General features: G+C 50.5%; 1 protein-coding gene across 1 annotated transcript in view, besides 6 other annotated features; it reads right to left on the bottom strand.

Annotated features, from left to right (window-relative positions):
- TLN1 (talin 1) overlaps positions 1–16,655 on the bottom strand; it is a 35,248-nt gene that overhangs the window by 17,192 nt on the left and 1,401 nt on the right. Inside the window, exons 2-24 of the mRNA NM_006289.4 lie at positions 11,426–11,588; positions 11,085–11,182; positions 10,691–10,820; positions 10,433–10,585; positions 10,053–10,195; positions 9,813–9,940; positions 8,722–8,782; positions 7,980–8,084; positions 7,509–7,664; positions 6,673–6,774; positions 6,294–6,370; positions 5,900–6,080; positions 5,601–5,714; positions 5,380–5,488; positions 4,935–5,143; positions 4,673–4,771; positions 3,480–3,647; positions 3,007–3,301; positions 2,251–2,417; positions 920–1,048; positions 621–737; positions 435–548; positions 100–234 (exon numbers count right to left, since the gene is read on the bottom strand). Of these exons, the coding sequence (NP_006280.3) occupies positions 100–234; positions 435–548; positions 621–737; positions 920–1,048; positions 2,251–2,417; positions 3,007–3,301; positions 3,480–3,647; positions 4,673–4,771; positions 4,935–5,143; positions 5,380–5,488; positions 5,601–5,714; positions 5,900–6,080; positions 6,294–6,370; positions 6,673–6,774; positions 7,509–7,664; positions 7,980–8,084; positions 8,722–8,782; positions 9,813–9,940; positions 10,053–10,195; positions 10,433–10,585; positions 10,691–10,820; positions 11,085–11,182; positions 11,426–11,555 (3,120 nt within the window). The 5' untranslated portion in view covers positions 11,556–11,588. The remainder of the gene's footprint in view (positions 1–99; positions 235–434; positions 549–620; positions 738–919; positions 1,049–2,250; positions 2,418–3,006; positions 3,302–3,479; positions 3,648–4,672; positions 4,772–4,934; positions 5,144–5,379; positions 5,489–5,600; positions 5,715–5,899; positions 6,081–6,293; positions 6,371–6,672; positions 6,775–7,508; positions 7,665–7,979; positions 8,085–8,721; positions 8,783–9,812; positions 9,941–10,052; positions 10,196–10,432; positions 10,586–10,690; positions 10,821–11,084; positions 11,183–11,425; positions 11,589–16,655) is intronic.
- Positions 568–1,472: an enhancer, noted in NCBI's record as "H3K27ac-H3K4me1 hESC enhancer chr9:35714704-35715608 (GRCh37/hg19 assembly coordinates)". NCBI's record gives its function as "activates a minimal SCP1, AML or CMV promoter by ChIP-STARR-seq in naive H9 embryonic stem cells {active_cell/tissue: H9 hESC(naive)}" and the evidence as "EXISTENCE:reporter gene assay evidence [ECO:0000049][PMID:30033119]".
- Positions 12,342–13,054: an enhancer, noted in NCBI's record as "H3K27ac-H3K4me1 hESC enhancer chr9:35726478-35727190 (GRCh37/hg19 assembly coordinates)". NCBI's record gives its function as "activates a minimal SCP1, AML or CMV promoter by ChIP-STARR-seq in naive H9 embryonic stem cells {active_cell/tissue: H9 hESC(naive)}" and the evidence as "EXISTENCE:reporter gene assay evidence [ECO:0000049][PMID:30033119]".
- Positions 12,342–13,067: a biological region, named in NCBI's record as "H3K27ac-H3K4me1 hESC enhancer GRCh37_chr9:35726478-35727190".
- Positions 12,773–13,067: a silencer, noted in NCBI's record as "tiled region #8490; K562 Repressive non-DNase unmatched - State 2:TssF". NCBI's record gives its function as "represses a minimal TATA promoter and a strong SV40 promoter by Sharpr-MPRA in K562 cells {active_cell/tissue: K562}" and the evidence as "EXISTENCE:reporter gene assay evidence [ECO:0000049][PMID:27701403]".
- Positions 13,055–13,768: an enhancer, noted in NCBI's record as "H3K27ac-H3K4me1 hESC enhancer chr9:35727191-35727904 (GRCh37/hg19 assembly coordinates)". NCBI's record gives its function as "activates a minimal SCP1, AML or CMV promoter by ChIP-STARR-seq in naive H9 embryonic stem cells {active_cell/tissue: H9 hESC(naive)}" and the evidence as "EXISTENCE:reporter gene assay evidence [ECO:0000049][PMID:30033119]".
- Positions 16,164–16,223: an enhancer, noted in NCBI's record as "active region_28333". NCBI's record gives its function as "activates an Ori minimal core promoter by ATAC-STARR-seq in GM12878 lymphoblastoid cells {active_cell/tissue: GM12878}" and the evidence as "EXISTENCE:reporter gene assay evidence [ECO:0000049][PMID:35858748]".

Here is a 16,655-nt window from a genome sequence, read left to right on the forward strand (position 1 = left end):
TGATTACACAATTATCTGCGTATTGGGTTATTCTGCACAGATTTCCTCTCATCACAGGACTCCAGCCTCATCTTCCAAAGCCAGAACCAGCTTCCATACCTTCTGGGCAGCCGTCCGGAGTTCAGCCAGCGCGGTGCCCAGGTTCTTGGCACACTGACTCAGCTGCATGGCTGAAGCCTGGTCCTGAATCGTTGGCACTGAGGCCTTTGCAGCTGCCACCATCTTCCCACCTGGCTGTTGGGGAATAGGCAGGTGGATGAAGTGTGCCATCCTCCCTCTGGGCTTGGGTACAAGGACTGATGATGGTCAGGATGTAGGGAACACTGGGGCTTGGTATTGGGAAAGAGGCTCTTGGCAGAGATTCAAACTGTGGGAGATGGAAGCTTAGAAAGGTGGGAAGGTCAGGTCAGAGAAGTGCAGAGGGGGTGCCTTGCCTGCAGGAAGCTCTGGCTGGCAGCAATGAGGGCAAGCTGAGCGCTGGGGCTGTCAGGCTGGGCTTGGCTTCCTCGGACGCCCTGCACCAGCAGTGGAATCTGCTCTGCCACTGCCTGTAGGTGAAAATGTCATAAGAGACCCACAAGTCTCCCTCTTCCACTCCCACATCCTTCCTAGAGTCTTACCTTGCAGCTCTGCACCAGCAGGGGCTGGGGGCCGGCAGAGGCCTTGGGGGTAGAGGCTGCGTGCTGAGCTGCAGCGATGGTCTGTGTGGCTGAGGCTGCAGCCTGCTTGGCTGCATGCTGTGAAGACAAGAGTAGTCAGACCAAGCCCATGGATTCCCATGCCCAGCCCAGTCCCTGGCCTACCTTGCCCAGGTTATGCCTCAAGGACGTATTAACTTACTCTCCGCACCTCCCTTTCAGTTCATTCCTCCCACAGCACCCACACTCTCTCTTGCTCCTGGTGAAACTCCCAGCCTCACCTCCAGGCGCTGCACCAGCTTTTTCTTGATGGCATTCTGCGCAGCTGCATTGGTGGCCATGCGCAGCCCCTCAGCTGCCTCCCGCAGCCGCTGCTGCTGCTCCTCACTGTCAGGGTGGGCAGCTGCTCCCTGAGGGAGAGGTGGAAAGACAGTCATCACCCAGCTCTCCTGTGGATCCTAAAGAAGCTCCTCTCTCACTCCTCTAGACTCAGTTTAAAATTCATGTATTTTCCTGAAGTCATCTCTAACTAGCCCCACCAAAAGGCAATCACCTTTGAGAGGAGCTGACTCATGAAGGTCAATGGGAAACCTCAGGGGGCTAGGATTCCCACTGGATGCTGAAATCCTTTCTTAAGGTGGAATTGTTTTGTCTTCCCCTCCTTGGGGAATACCACACGAGTGAGGTGAGTAGGGCTTCCTGGACAAAGGAGGACTCAGTTTAGAGCAGGCATCTCAGGAATACCAAAGCAGGGGACCTGCTTACTCCTGCCAACTGAAAAGCCCCAGAGTCCAGGGGGCCTAGGAATCATCTGGGCTTCTTTCTGATGGTTCTCTGCATGCTGGTGTCTCAGTGTCCTGCTGGCAGCAGAGGCCCCAGAGACTGAATGCCTATGTGTATTCACAGGGGAGACCAGGAAGGAAAGGAATCCCAGGCAGGGTAGCAGCAAAGAAGGTAAAAATAGGCCTTGGACTTAAGACCTTGGACTTAAAGAAAAAGGATCTGGTTGCCTACTACAGAGGAATGGGAGAGATTTATTAAAGGACACAAAATTATAGCTAGATAGGAGTAAGTTCTAGCGTTCTACACCACTGTAGGATGACTAAAGTTAAGACTATTATATAGTTCCAAATAGCTAGGGGGAGGATACTGAATGTTCCCAACACAAAGAAATGATAAATATTTGGATAAATGATGGATATGTTAATTACTCTGATCTGATTACTATACATGTATTGAAATGTCACTATGTACCTCATGAATATGTAAAATTATGTCAATTAAAAAATAATTTTAGGCCAGGTGTGGTGGCTCATGCCTGCAATCCTAACACTTCGGGAGGCCAAGGTGGGAGGATCACTTGAGTCCAAGAGTTTGAGACCAGCCTGGGCAACACAGTGAGACCACATCTTTAAAAAAAAAAAAAAAAAAAAAGCCTGGGTCATGGCTCACCCACAGCCTTGGGGCTCATTCATTTCCTGAGTGCTCCTATATTTGTCCTCTTGTGTTTTCTGCTTTTCCTGGGTCTCCCTCATCAGATGAGGGTGACCATCTGGACTGCTCTACTTCCCTCTAGGGTCCAGTCTGGGAGTGTGCACAGAAGGCTTTGTACCTTGGCAGCCTCTACCATCTTGGCTGTGGCATCAGCTAGGATCTTGGCAGCACTTAAGAGCTTGCGGGAGTTCTCCAGATCACTTTCCCCCTCAGCATCAGCCTTGATGGCATTGACCAGGTCAGATGTGGCTTGGGCCAGGATGCGGGCCTGTCGCACCATCTCCCCTGAGAGCATAGGGCACAGTCAGGCGAGGAAGCCAGAGACACTGAGGTGTCAGGGGTGGGGACAAAGGTGGGGAAAAGTGGTGTAGACAAGGTAGATGGGGGCTTTAGGGACAGAAAAAGAGACTGGCAAAAGCTCTTGCATCATTTCTTTGGGGCTATTTTTTTTCTGGGTTTAGGATCTTGGAGAAAAAGATTCTCCAGTGGGTTCTTACGGGAGAAGGACAGTCTCCAATGGGTATTTTCAGCCAGTAGCCTTGAGAAGATGAGACACTCTCTGAAAACTTTTGGGGTCAGGGGTATAGTAGGGAAGGCTATACCACTTTCATGTCACTTTCTATATATTTTTGTGCGTACTTTGGTATATTCTTTAAATGCTCCAGGGAAGGTAGAGGACTTAATATTCCTTTTACAGAAGGGGAAGCAGAGGGTTCAGAGAGCTTTAATGATGAGCCTATGGTTGTGTGGCTGGCAAGCCCACACTGTGCTGAGTTCCTTGGGGTGAAGTGGTTAGGTCCGCAAGGGGATGATGTCCAGTGGGCTTAGGGAACCCTGGTAGGGTTTTTTGTTTTCCTGGGGGTGCGTGTCTTACCAGCATCACCCATGGAGCTAAAGATGTTCTCAGTGACGGTTAGGATGGTGTCAGTAGCCTGGTCATAACGGCCAGCAGGCCCAGCCCCTGTGGCATGGGCTTTCACATGCTGCAGCAGCTCATTTAGGGCCTGGGTGACAGCTGTGGCTGCTGCTCCTACCCCTCGCAACAGTTGCCCATCCTCTGTAGCTGCCTGGGAGGCAGACACACAGCCCTCCACGGCTTTGGCTACCAGTCGTCCAGCCTCCACCAGTTGCTCTTGGCAGACAGGTGAGCTGATTGTAGGTGCCACCACCTGTAGGTAAAGTGAATGTCAGAGACGTAGGCAAGGGAAAGGAGGTAGAGTATGCTGCTCATAGCAGTAACTGGGATGGGTGAGGAGGCCTCCAGAGCCAAAGAAATAAAATGAAAGGCTCACGTGTGTGTGGTAGTATTACCCCTCAGCACGGACTAGAGCAACCTTTGGGGCTCACCTTAGTACAGGCCACTAGTTGGGAAGTGGATAGGGCACACTGTGTTGCTGCAGCAATAACTTGGGTCTGAAGTCCCGAGTCCTCTGTCCGCTGGGCCACACTCTTGGCCTTGAGGACCAGGGCAGCTGCAGCACTTGCCACAGCTTTGGCGAGCTGCATTAGCGCATCCTGTGAGAAAACAGCAGTTAGCATGACCTGAGATTGGGCTTGGGATTCACAGACACTTCTCAGAGGCGTAAGCTGCTTCATTATTCCCACTGATCCAATCAAAGGAGAGTGTACGCAGAAGCAACCAGAACCTACCCCGAGCTACTGCCCTGAGCACCCAGCAGGACAGAACCCCCACCGAGGAACAAACCCACACCAAGAGAAAATACAGCCTACACCAAATGGAGACACACATGAGGCGGATACACTCGATGATGACGGGGAGACAATGTGGTGGCGCTGTTACAATGGGGTGGGGAGAGGAGGTAGGAGGTATCTCCTGGGATCCCTCCACCCCCAGCTTCTTTACTCCACTTCTTGATCTTGGATTGGAAGTGGTCATCCTGGAGTCTTGGGAGCAAGTCCCTGTACTACCCTACCTGATCCCATTTCCCAAAGCCTGGCTTCGCCAGGCCTCCTCATCTCCCACCAAGTTCTGGTCCCCCAGGAGGCTGAGGAAGAAGTACAGAAACGAGTGTATGCGGCTCAGAGAGGACAAAGCTGGGAAGGCCCAGGCCAGAGGCTGTTACCGTAGGGGAATCGGGGGGAGATCGAACCCCAGCCCCTCTGGATGCACATATCTGCATGGGAAATCCAGGGTGAAAAGTCAGCTGAGGAAATTGGCATGGAGCGGGAAGGGGGAGAGCTAGAGGAACACTATTCTCAGGGTGGCATGGTCTATAGCATTGTGGGGGGTCCTCAAATTGGGGCAAGGGCTATGTACGGGGAAGAGAGAGAAAAGATGACAAGGGGCTAAAGAATAAATGAGGGCCAAGAGTAAACTAGCAGGTTAAGTTTGGATTCAGGGGTTCTGAATTCTAACCCCTAAAAGAGAGATCAGAAGTTACTAGTATCATCCCCTGGAAATAGAGGTTCAGATTGGTTTTTAGGGGTCAATTCACAGAAGCCAGGACTAGGAACTGGATTCACGAGCAGAAGTTACTTCCTAGATTCTGGGGTTCTGGGGGGTTGGGTAAGTCACCAACCTGGAAGTGGGGGTCAGTATCACTTTCCCCAATTTGTTGCAACAGCTCCCCACTGGCCTGGCCCACGTTCCCAGCTGCTTGCAGCAGGTTCTGACGGGGCTGTGGAGAGTGAACACCAGTCAGAAGCTGCCCAATCCCTGCCCACATGCCTGTGCATATCACAGGCCCACGGGACCCAGGCTTCCATCCTGTGGCTTGGACTGCCCCTTCTCCTTGGGCTTGAACCCTGTCTCCACCCTAACCCAAACCTGTGGCCCCTGACCTCAGCACTGGCTGGTTGGGCACTGCGCAGCAGTTCTGACACTGCTCCCGCAAGGCCCTTTGCTGCCTGCAACAGGGGCCGACCACTGCCGCCTTCGTCCTCCAGCAAGGCAGCCAGCAGCTTCACCCCACGGGACATCTCCGTCAGGTTGGAGGAGATTGTGGTGACTGCACAGCCCACTGCGGTATAGTCTGTCTCAGCAGGGTCCCCTAAGGGGAAAAGGAGAAAGAGGAACATGAGAGACAGGGCAGGCCAGACGAAGGGCTGGGGAGGGAGCAAAGTCACACCCAGTTAGTCACACACATGTCCACAGAAAGACGCACACACACAGTCCCTTCCACAGTGAGTCAAGGCACAGTCACACATGAAGCCAGTCACATGCATGCCTGTGCACACTTGCACCCCCTCTCCCCATCACACACCCGGAAGCTAGCATCCGGCCTACCTGCTGTCAGGTTCACCACAGACGCAGTACCAGCTGTGATGGCATCTACCTGAGAGTGGATCTCATGCTTTGATTCATCCATCTTGTTTTTACGCCAGGCCTTAGAGGCCTGAAAGAGAGAGGAAAAGCCTTCAGGATCTGCCCTGGTTTGGTTCACCTCATCCCTATCCCTTGGAGTCTCAGCTTCAGTACCACCGGCCTCTCCTCCATCCCATACTTACAGCATCCTGGCCAAGAGGCGGCAGAGTGTCAAAGTCATCCAGGGTGGCCTGGGCAGCCTGCACGGCCTGCATGCTGGAGTTAATGGTTCCAGTGAGTGCCTGCTGGGCTGAAGTCTAAAGACAAGTGGGGAGAAACAGGGACTGGAATGGATGTTTGGAGAAAAGAGAAGGTAAAAGAGAACCAGGGTCTAGGGAGAGAATACAAATAGGGACCTGGGAAAAGACTGCCTAACTCCTGGCTCGGCCCAGCTGAGGGTGAGAGAAGGGCCCTGGCACCGTGGTGGAAGTGGGACACTTACCAGAGGAGGCATGTGTCCTCGGTGCATCTGGCCGCTGGTAATCTGCTGCTGGGCAGGGGGCATGCTGCCCACCTGGAAATTCTCAGGACCAGAGGCTCCAGAGCGCATGATGGCAGGCAGGGCCACAGAGCCATGCTCCACTTTCCCCACCCGGTTGTATTGCTGCTGCAGGACTGTTGACCTGTAGAGGGGTGAACTATTGAGCTCACAGAGGACTCCTCATCTCTACCCGTCCCACCCGGTTACACTACCTTTGCAGGTGTGTGAGGTCTCACTACAGCCTGCAACTAGTTAAAGAACCATTCTAAGGACTCCCCACCTCCCAAGAGTCCTTAGAGTCAGGCCTTGCCTTCTCTACCCCTGGGAAATGGGATCAGCCCAACTCCCTTCGTACTTTTTGGGGGACACTGAGTCCTCCAGCATAGTAGACTCCTCATCTCCTTCCAGCCCAAAGTGATCCTTGCTTTTTTTCTGTAGGAAGGAAAAAGGAACAAGAGTTGGGATAGTTAAAGAAGAGGGAAGTGGAGAAAAGGCAGCCTCTTCTTTCCATAACCAGCCATTTTCCAGAAGCTGAGTGTCCATTTCTTTTTCTTTTTTTTTTTTTTTTGACAAGAAAGGGCTCTGTCACCCAGGCTGGAGTGCAGAGGCAAGATCTCGGCTCATTGCAACCTCCGCCTCCCAGGTTCAAGCAATCTGAGTGCCCATTTCTAAAGGACTGGCTTGTGGAGAGGGCAAGAGGCGATAAGGAGAAGGCTAGGGCAGGCAGTGCTCACCTTCTTCAGGATGATATCGATGTAGCCGGCAATGAGCTGTGCAATCTGCTCCCCTTCAGTTGTCTGTACTGAGTAATAGCCATCTTGGTAATCTCCAAAATCCTAGGGTGACAAGTGGGGGACTCAGAGGGAAAGCTCAAATCTATCCAGGATGGAAATGGCTAGGATGGGAGGCCCAAGGTTGAGCTGATGAGATGCCTTCCCGTGGCAACGGCCCTCTTGGAAGATGCCCACCTTTCTTGAACCTCCTCTTTATTTTCTCCTTGGAGGGAAATTTTTTACTTCTGAGGAGTGGCCTCTACACTACACAGTTTCAAATACATATCATTTAGGAAGTCTCTTATTTTTACTCTGATGATAAAATTGAGAGGATATAATATTTGGCATAAAATGGCCACACTTTAAGGTTGGCTGTAGTATCCAAAAGGGAAAAAACAGCATTTCCTATAATTTGTATTTGTGTCATTAGGGTACTTTATCAAGTTGATATCAGTTTTCAATTCATAACCCTATAATATAAAGTCAAAAATTCACTGTATATAGCTGCTGCTGAAACAGGGAGGTTATCACATTTTTCCTTTCACCACACCTACAAGAATTCCTGTGATCTCAGCTTGCTGATGAGATTTTTGTTCTGCTGATTTTAAAGAATAAGTCCATCATCCGTTTCATTTAAGCCTCACACTCTCCCAGAGGAAGATTCTCCATCTACTCTAACCTCCTTTTTTTCTGGAGTAATACTCAGTATACTTACCCCAAGAGAGGGAAGAGACCTCTGCAGCTGCCCCTTTAATGAAACTCCCAAAGCACTTTCTTGTTATAGTCCCCAGACTTACCAGGGTGAAGCTTTTGGGAGACGCAGCCCAGCGTTTGATGTTGGTGAGGTTCCACTCCTGGATCACTTCCTTGGTCTTCTCATCCACTCGCATCACACACTCCTTGGTGATGCCCAGAAGCCTGGGCACTAGCTTGTTCTTCCCTTTCATTTTTTCCTATGAGGCAGAGGTTGGTGTTGGTGTTACAGGTCAGAGGTCAAATGAGAGGTGAATGATCAGATCAGCTTGCAGCCATAGGGGATGTTGAGGTGGCCGGGAGGGCTAACGGACAAGGGAAAATGCAGGGTAGGGAGGGAAGTGGTGGTGTAGGGCTGATGACAGGCAGGTTTTCATGAGGTCAGAGCAAGGAAGAGAATGGGAATCTTAGGGAATGGTGGGAGATGTGACTGAGGGCAAGGCCAGAGACTTTCAGAGACAGAAAAGGGCAAGAGTGGGAAACAAGGAGGGCAGTGAAAAGGGCCCATAACCTACCTTCACCAGGAAGAAGGAGACACCGTAAGTCTTGAGAGAACGGGCTAGCTTCACGTAGCGGACCTTGGCCTCAATCTCACTCATCTGCCCACAATTCTTGTGTGCCTGTGCATAAAATGGGGAAGAATTTAGCAAAGAGTTTCATATCACAGCTAAGGAATTAAGGTTGGATGCTAACTCTAACGAGAGAGAATTATGGGGACACTGGAAAGGTTGAGGAGTACAAGATATGAGAACGAGAGGGTAACGGGATGGAGGCTGATAAGGGCTATGCAGAAGCGATGAGTCAAGGGATACAGTCAAGGAACTTGCAGACATTCTGGAGATATGAACAGAGAGTTTGGAAGTAGAAGGGCAAAGAGAAGGCCTTCTGGGCTGAGTATTCAGAGTGGGGGTAACACCTTATAGTGGACAAAGACTATACTCTTTCACAGTAATTTCAGATTATGCTACCTCATTTGATCCTATCAGTCCTACACGGGGCAAGTACTGTTATCCCAAATCAGAGGTAAATAAAAGATTACAAGAATATTGAACTGAATTGCACAGCAAAAGCAGGGATGGAGCTGAGACTAAAAGCCCAAGCTGTCTGCTTTCTTGGCAGAGGTGAGGTGGGATAACAGCCCGGTGGGTGAAAGCCAAGTTAGGGGAGACGGGGAGGAGGCAGGGGGCCATTTAGTCAGTAAGATTAAGCAGCAAAGCTCCGCGGTCATCCCAAATACTTTCCCCTACCCACATTCACCTGGAAGATCTTACGCTCTCCCTTCTGCTTCACATACTCCTTGGGCAGGAAGTCCTTCAGGCTACACCAGAAAAGGGAGGGTCAGCATGTGGTAGACAGCATCAGGGGACATGTGGGCCATGAACTGTGGGCCTGGGGGTATGAGGAAATACCTAGGACAGTGTTATCTTTGGGGAGAAAAAAGACTCTGAGGGAATAGAGTCTAGATTATCTTCTGAAATAGAGGTGACTTCGTGTAAACTCTTCTTTTTTTTTTTTGAGATGGAGTTTCACTCTTGTTGCCCAGGCTGGAGTGCAATGGCACGATCTCAGCTCACCAAAACCTCCACCTCCCAGGTTCAAGTGATTCTCCTGCCTCAGCCTCCCGAGTAGCTGGGATTACAGGCATGTGCCACCACGCCTGGCTAATTTTGTATTTTTAGTAGAGATACATGGTTTCTCCACGTTGGTCAGGCTGGTCTCGAACTCCCGACCTCAGGTGATCTGCCCGCCCTGGCCTCCCAAAGTGCTGGGATTACAGGTGTGAGCCACCGAGCCTGGCCAGTATGAATTCTTAATGTGACCTGTGTCTCTCCCTGTAGGGAAAGGGACTGAGGAAAATTAAGTTAGAGGCTCAGTCCCTGAGGGAAAGTGGGTCTAGAGCACCATTTCAGGGAACCAAGAGGAGAAAGAGCTTTCTAGAAGGATGAACATGCACTTAGGAAGCTGAGAAAGCCACGCCAAACTCTGCATTCCAAGAAACACCAGCAGATGAGGCTTGTGAGACTTTTAACCCATGTTCCCTATAGGGAAAATTTTACCCGGTTTCCCTCTGGCTACTGCAGCAAAATTCTTCAGATAATCTCAAAAAAGAGTGACATGCTTGCTTCAGAGATGGGGGTAGGGGCAGAGATACTGAACTACATTCATATTCCAGAGGCAGAGAAGAGACAATGGATGATGGCAACTAAAAGGGTAGCTATGTTGGTCAAACCCTGGTACCTCGGAAGAAGAAATAGTGGGGGGCAGGCTTGGAATGGAGACAGGCCCACTGGGGTCACAATGGCAGGGAGTCCTGGGCCCTGACAGGGTATAGGATGTGGGTCACTCACTCAAGGAAGCCAGCCTTGTGCTTCTGCTCATTGTGGGGCCCAAACTGGATCTGGCATTGGAAGCCAGCAAACTCACAGGCCTTGTCAAAGGAGACAGGGTGGGAGCCATTCAGGATGTCATCTCGTGCCTGGAGAGCACAGGGCAAGGAGGCGAATGTTGTGTGTGGGTGCAAGGACACGCACACTGTGCTTCCGAGCCCTCCCTATTCCTGCCCCACCCCAGCCAAGTCCTCTGCATACCTGCACATACAGGAGGTTCAGCTGTACAGGGTCCCGGGAATCCACATTCTGGTCTGAGTAAAAGAACTTCCTCCGCAGCAGCAGCGTCTCGTGCTCCTCTACACCCTGCTCCCTCAGTGTCCGACCATGGTCCAGCCAGTTCACTGGGATACAGACAGTCCCCTCAGTGCCAAACCCCCATGGCCCCTGTGCTGTCTGGTCTCTGTTTATTTCTGCATTTCCTACCTCCCCTCACTTAAATGTAAGTCCCATGAGTGTAGGACTTTGTTTTCTCACTGATGTATCCCCAGGGTGTAAAACAGTGCCTGGCAGAAGCAGATGCTGAAGCCCCTTCCCACCCTTCCCATTTCAAAAGCCCTCTTTTTTCTAGTTCTGCTTACACTCATCATCTGTGTGCAATTTCTGCTTTAGTTTCTCCATCTTCTTTTCATCTCGCAGCAATGTCTTGTCCTTTCTTAAGGTCCCTGTTATTTCCTCCTTTTTCTCTTCCATCAGCTCTCGAACCAATGAATATTCATCATGATTGGTGATGCCTGAGGAAGGAGATGGCTTGTTAGCTTCCCAGGTACTGCATCCATGCCTTTTGAGAGAGTTGAGGCTTTCTGGCCCAGGCTTTCAACTGTACTAGGGCCCCTTACCAATGCGGGCACAGATGGTCATGAGCATGTCAGTGACAGTCTTAGAGTCATCCACCATGATCGTCTTCACAGTTCCATCCAGCATACGGATCTTCAGGGGTCTCTGTTTCTTCCTGTACTCCATAGTGTCCTGTTAGGGCAGGAAGAAGAGACAGGGGCCTACTCTGAGCTAGGGGTATTATTTCCTCTTTACACAGCCCGAGGGGAGAGAGTGGAGCACTGAAAGGAAGACTATGGTGGTTCGTTCAAAAGCAGGGAATTATGACTGTCTGTTAATAGGAAGAAAGCATGGGGAGGGCTAAGAGACAACAGATGTGGGTGCTGAAAACAGGAGGTGGAACAGGGAGAAGCTGATGGAAGGGGATGTGGTGGTCCTTGATGAAAGGATACTTACCCCATTTCGGAGCATGTAGTAGTCCAAAGCTTTCCCAGCCTCCAGCCATATACCCTTTTTGGGGTCATCATCTGACAGAAAGAGCCCAAAGTCGCTGGCTAAAAGAGAGGATGGATCACTTTAGGCTTATGAAGACCCCAATGTGGCTGAACAGCTTGTACCATGTTGCCCCTGACTATTTCTCCCATGACCTTGGGCCTAAAGAACGAGGGAACCATGGAACACAGACCTGAGGGGTGAGTAGTCTTAGGGGACAAAGGGGTCAACTCTCAAGGCCGAGAGCCTGGGAACAAGAAGGGACTGAAGACTCCCACTCCAGCCACCGGGGGAGTCAGACTCACGAGGACCAGCTGGGGCCTCTGGGATCCGCTCACGAATGATGCGGCAGGCGTCGTACACCATGGTAGACGGCTCAAACTGCATCGTCTTCACCACATTCCCAATGCTGATCTTCAGTGAAAGTGCAACCATGGTGGCAGCTTCTTTTCTCCAGCCTGGCTATACCTGACCCATGGCATCAGGGCATTAGAATACACTCTTCTGGTGGGAGAAGAGGCCCCCCAGATGGTGGAGTCCAAGGGAAGAGTGTTTTTGAAAGGGACTCACCAAAGTAGATGGTAATAAGGTTGTTTTCATTGTATTTAATAATTTTAAAGAGTGAAAAATTATTTACATCAAAAGAATGAGTCCTGACAATTTTTTTTTTTGAGACAGAGTTTCGTTCTGTTGCCCAGGCTAGAGTACAGTGGTGCGATCTCAGCTCGCTGCAAGCTCCGCCTCCTGGATTCACGCCATTCTCCTGTCTCAGCCTCCCCAGTAGCTGGGACTACAGGCGCCCGCTGCCATGCCTGGCTAATTTTTTGTATTTTTAGTAGAGACGGGGTTTCACCATGTTAGCCAGGATGGTCTCGATCTCCTGACCTCGTGATCCACCTTGGCCTCCCCAAGTGCTGGGATTACAGGCGTGAGCCACCACGCCCGGCCAAGTCCTAACAATTTAAGACATCTGAGGGAAAGGAGAAGCTGGTCTGCAAGGTACAATAGCAGGTCTGAAATGCAGTGCTACCTGAGGACACTGCCCTGCCCCACCACTGGAATTTGTACCTCCCTACTTTCATCCAAGTATCTCTCTTGCCCCTTGTCCCTGATCACCTTTCTCAGCCCTACTCCTGCCTTCTTTTCATTTTTGCCTGGTTCAGTATTTTTCTCTCTTTGTCTCCTGCTGTGTCCTGCTGGCTCTTCCCTGTCCGGGATTTTCAGAGCTCTCTTCTCACCACGTGACCTTCCTTCTCATGGCTTTAGCTGCCTTCTCTGCAAAATGAAGATGTTATAATTCCCTAAGGCTCTTGAAGCCTGCAAACAAACTCTAGCTAGCCTGGCAGGGAGACCAAATACTGGTTGCTCAAGCCATTCAGGGGTCCGCTCTTGCCCCAGCTTTTTTCTAACCTGAGATGCGGGGGCCTTCTGAAGGAGCCTAGCCCTGTACTGGGCTTCCCAGGCAGTCAAGCTAGAAATGTGATTCTCTAACTCAAAGGGATCTATCTCAGAAGTTATCTGGTCAACTCTTGTGTTTTGGAGAAGGGGAAATAGACTCTGGGAGGCCAGGAAACATTTTCAAGACAGGCCAGAGAAAGGACCCAGTCCCTGTAACTCAGTCCTTGCTTGTTCCAAGTCATCAAGTTAATACTCAGTCCTGCAACTCCTCCCATGCTTTCTCCTCTTCAGCAAGTCTGTCTCGAATTCTGCTCTGTCTCACCCACTTCCCCTGACTGTATTTTCAGTGCAGCTCAGAATACTAGTCCTACCCCACCTTCTTCCACCCTCCTGGCACCCCCTCTCAGCAGGCTAGAGGAGGCACTGGAGGCAGCAGGTGGCGCACAGGCTGCAAGAGGACAAGTCTGCCCGGCTGCTGCTGATGTGCCCCTGCTTGGTACAGGGATTGGGTGCCTCTTAACTAAGAGAATGGGCAAATACAAGCTGCCCATTCCCCTCCTGGCAAACTACAAGCCTCAAATGGGGAAAAGCAGGGTGAGAGGGGAAGGCTGGAAAGCAGAGATGGGGGTGTTAGGATACAGAAGGCATTTGAAAGCCAGGGAAGTTAAGAAGGGGTAGAGGGTAAAGAAGTTAGGAGAGATGGGATGAGGAGAATTGAAAATCTAAGTAGAAACAAGAGACAGGAGGCAGGTATGAAAATGGTCTAGATCAGCGGTCTGGTACCAAGTGGCAGATAGACCATTTCTGACCTTACAAGCAGTCCAGAGTCTCAAAAGAGAAGAACCACAGCTCTCTGTCTTTACTCCCCAATAAGAGAGGACCCTCCCAGTCTCCCCAGTTCCAGCTCTCTGCCCCCTCCCCACTCCTGGGGCACTTTGCCCAACCTTATTACTATCCGCTTGTGTCCCAGCTGGACAGACCTGGCTATGGGGTTGCTGACCATGAAAGAATGAGGGCTGGGCTGGTGGATCCGAGAAGCTGGAGGAGTCTGTGGAGCCAAGAAGCAGGACTGAAAGGACCCTTCACACTAAGCTGAAACTGCATGTCTCCCCCCATTTCCTCTGGACACTTAGACACCCCCTTCCTCCTCAAGCACGGAAGCCTCTGGTGAGACCCCGATAAGGGAGCTGAGTCATGCCTACCCTTACTCCCCAGCTGGTCCAGAGTGGATATTCACACAGCTACAAGAGGGTGTGTGGACGCGAAGAACTGATCAGTGAATTGTGGGTGGTGGTGGCAAAGAACAAGGCTGCTACAAGTATGAGTAGAAGCTAGCTCATTCCTCCTTTGGCCTGAGAACTTTGCTCCCTTTTCCATTGTGTTTGATGGAACAGCAACTCCCCACTGCCGTGTCCCCCTCCCAGGGAACTCCTCCTCCCTCAATACATTCCTGCGATGCATTCCAAAGAAGTTGGGCAATTGGAGGGGGGGAATGGAGGACAGGAGGTCAAATCCCAGCAAGGAATGGAATGTAAGAGTATTGGAGCTAAGAAAGTTGGGGTACTTGGAGAATATAGTCAGAGCAGATACCCACAAGGGGAATTGCAGAAAGATAGGGAGTTACAGACAGGAACAAAAGGAAAGAGCTTAAGACAGTCAGAATATAAGAGGGATGGGGGAGTAACACTCAGTCTGTTACCAAATTTGGCCTCTGAGTCCGCAACCGCTGGCAGTGGGGGAGGGCTGTGGGTGAGACTGACATATCCGGCCTCAGGCTGCTGGAGACTCATTTAGAGCTGGACTGGGCAGCTAGCTGAAGGGCTGCACAGAACTTCCCCCGGTACAGCCCCTCCATACTCAAATGCACACTCATTCTCCCCAGATGCACCCCAGCCTAGGCAGAGCTCTTTCCCACAAAGCTACCTTACTCTCTCTATACACACATTATCTCAATCACACAGCCCCCACACAGATCCCATCACGACTGCATTATCTTCTCCTAGGGAGCCCATCCTATGCACACAGCTTTTGCACAGATAACCTCCATAACAAGCACACCCGGCACCCAGTGTCTCTCCTCCCATTATGTAGACATTCTCCATTCACCCAGCAAGCATTCCTTGAGGGCCAGCTGTGGGGAAGACCCTGGGCCAAACTTTCAGTGGCTGGGGACCAAGATCAGTAAGACCTAGCCTTTGAGTTCAAAGGGCTCCCAGTCCACGAGATGAGTGAATAAGCCAAGTACAGAATCACAACGGAGGGCAGGATGTGGTAAGAGCCAAAAGGTGTGTGCTCAGAGAGATCCCTTTAGGTCAGGGAAGGGGAACCAAAAAGTCTCCATGATAAGTATCATTTGAAGCTAGAATTTTAAAAAATAGAGATAATAAAAAACAATAGTGATCTGCCATTTATTGACTATGTCACTTGCATTGTATACATAATTTCATTTAATCCTTACAGTAGGTGTCATTATTTCCATTTTTACAGATCAGAAAACAGACTCAAAGATGTTAAATACTTGTTCAAATACTTCTCCAAATAATAAGTTGTGAAGCCAGGATCCGAACCCAGGTTTCTGACTGCAAAGCCCAAGCTTTCTCCACTACGCCAGCCAGCTGGAGATGTGTCAGGGGTAGTTTTCACTCCAGGCAGAGAAATAGCATAAGCAAAGATGGAGAAGCAGTAAATCGTGGAGGAGCATTCAGGGAAGTGAGCAGGCAGGCTGTTGAAGCACAGGGGTACCTGCAAGGGAGCAGTGGTGGGGAAGTCAGGGTTAGGATGGAAAGGCAGAGGAAGACTGGAGAGGGGTATGAGGAATTTTACTTATTGGAGGACAAAAGGAAGCCAAGGGAGTCTTTGAGCAGAGAAGAGACATAACCGGAACTGGATTTTAGAAAAATAACTCTGGCAGTTACCTTGGAGATTAGTTAGAAGGACACTGTATTAGTACAAATTAAAGGTAATGAAGCCGGAGTTGGAATGGCATTGAGGAAGATGTCACTCAGAACAAGTTTGGGGAGGTAGAAATGACAGGACCTAATAACTACTAAGGTAGACAGGTTAGAGTCCCACAGCTTCCTATCATCAGCAGCCACTTTAGCGGCTGGGGCAGCTTGAGTTTAGGCGACGAATTGGGAAGAGGGGAAAGGATCAGGTTGGGCAGAGAATGTGAGGATGAGGCTGTGGTTACGGGATGTGGTTAGGCTGTGGGGAAAAAGGGTATGAGTATATGATTAGTAGCCACTAGGGGCAGATGGGGTTGGGTTAGTGACTGCATCAGGCTGGGAATGGGGAAGACAGGGTGTAGAAAAAGGATGAGAAGACAGGGTGTAGAAAAAGAATGCTGGTGATGATGGTGTTTGGAAAAATACATATACATAAGATACATATATGACCAGTCACTGCATCAGGTTGGGGGAAGGGGAATGATTACATGGATGGTGGCTAAGTCAGGGAATGATGGGGTGAGGTCAGAGGCCAGGTCAGGCTATAGGAGGTTGAGAAGAGCTGGGCCTGTGGTCAGTCACTAAATCAGACTGGGGTGGGGGTGGGAAAGTGAAGGGACATTGGCAATGTCTAAGTAAAGCTGGAGCTGGGATGGGGGATGGGGTACAGCCAGTGGCTGGGTCAGGCTGAGTAGAGGATAGTGCTGTGGTCAGTGGCAGGGTCAGGCTGGGAGTGAAGTGGGGGTGTGGTCAGTGGCCTGGCTGGGCGTGGGATCAGCAAGACCCAGTTTCCTCTTTGGGTCTCGTTTCCTCTTTTCTGTTGGGGAGTGGGGGAAGGGGATCTACAAATGGTCCAAGAAATTAAAAGAGGCTTAGATCCAGGGGGTGACACACAGCAGGGGATGGGAGTAGGGTATTCAGCAGATGACCAGGTGGAATGTAGGTACATGACTGGGTGAAAATGGTAGGAGAGTAATTTAAAATGATGGGAAAGCTCAGGTTTTGATGAGGGTAAATTCAGGTAGGATGTGCGGATTAAAGGTTGGTGAGGGAGGTAGAACTAAGGATGGGAACGGATGATAAGATGAGCATGGGAGAGTTAAAGGCAAGGGAAGTATTTTGTAAGGGGATAGGCAGGATGGGTGTGAAATGCAGAGTCAGGGATGAGAGTTGGAGAGGAGGGCTTAATACC

The sequence above is a fragment of the Homo sapiens genome, chromosome 9, assembly GCF_000001405.40.
Source record: "Homo sapiens chromosome 9, GRCh38.p14 Primary Assembly".
Taxonomy (NCBI): domain Eukaryota; kingdom Metazoa; phylum Chordata; class Mammalia; order Primates; family Hominidae; genus Homo; species Homo sapiens.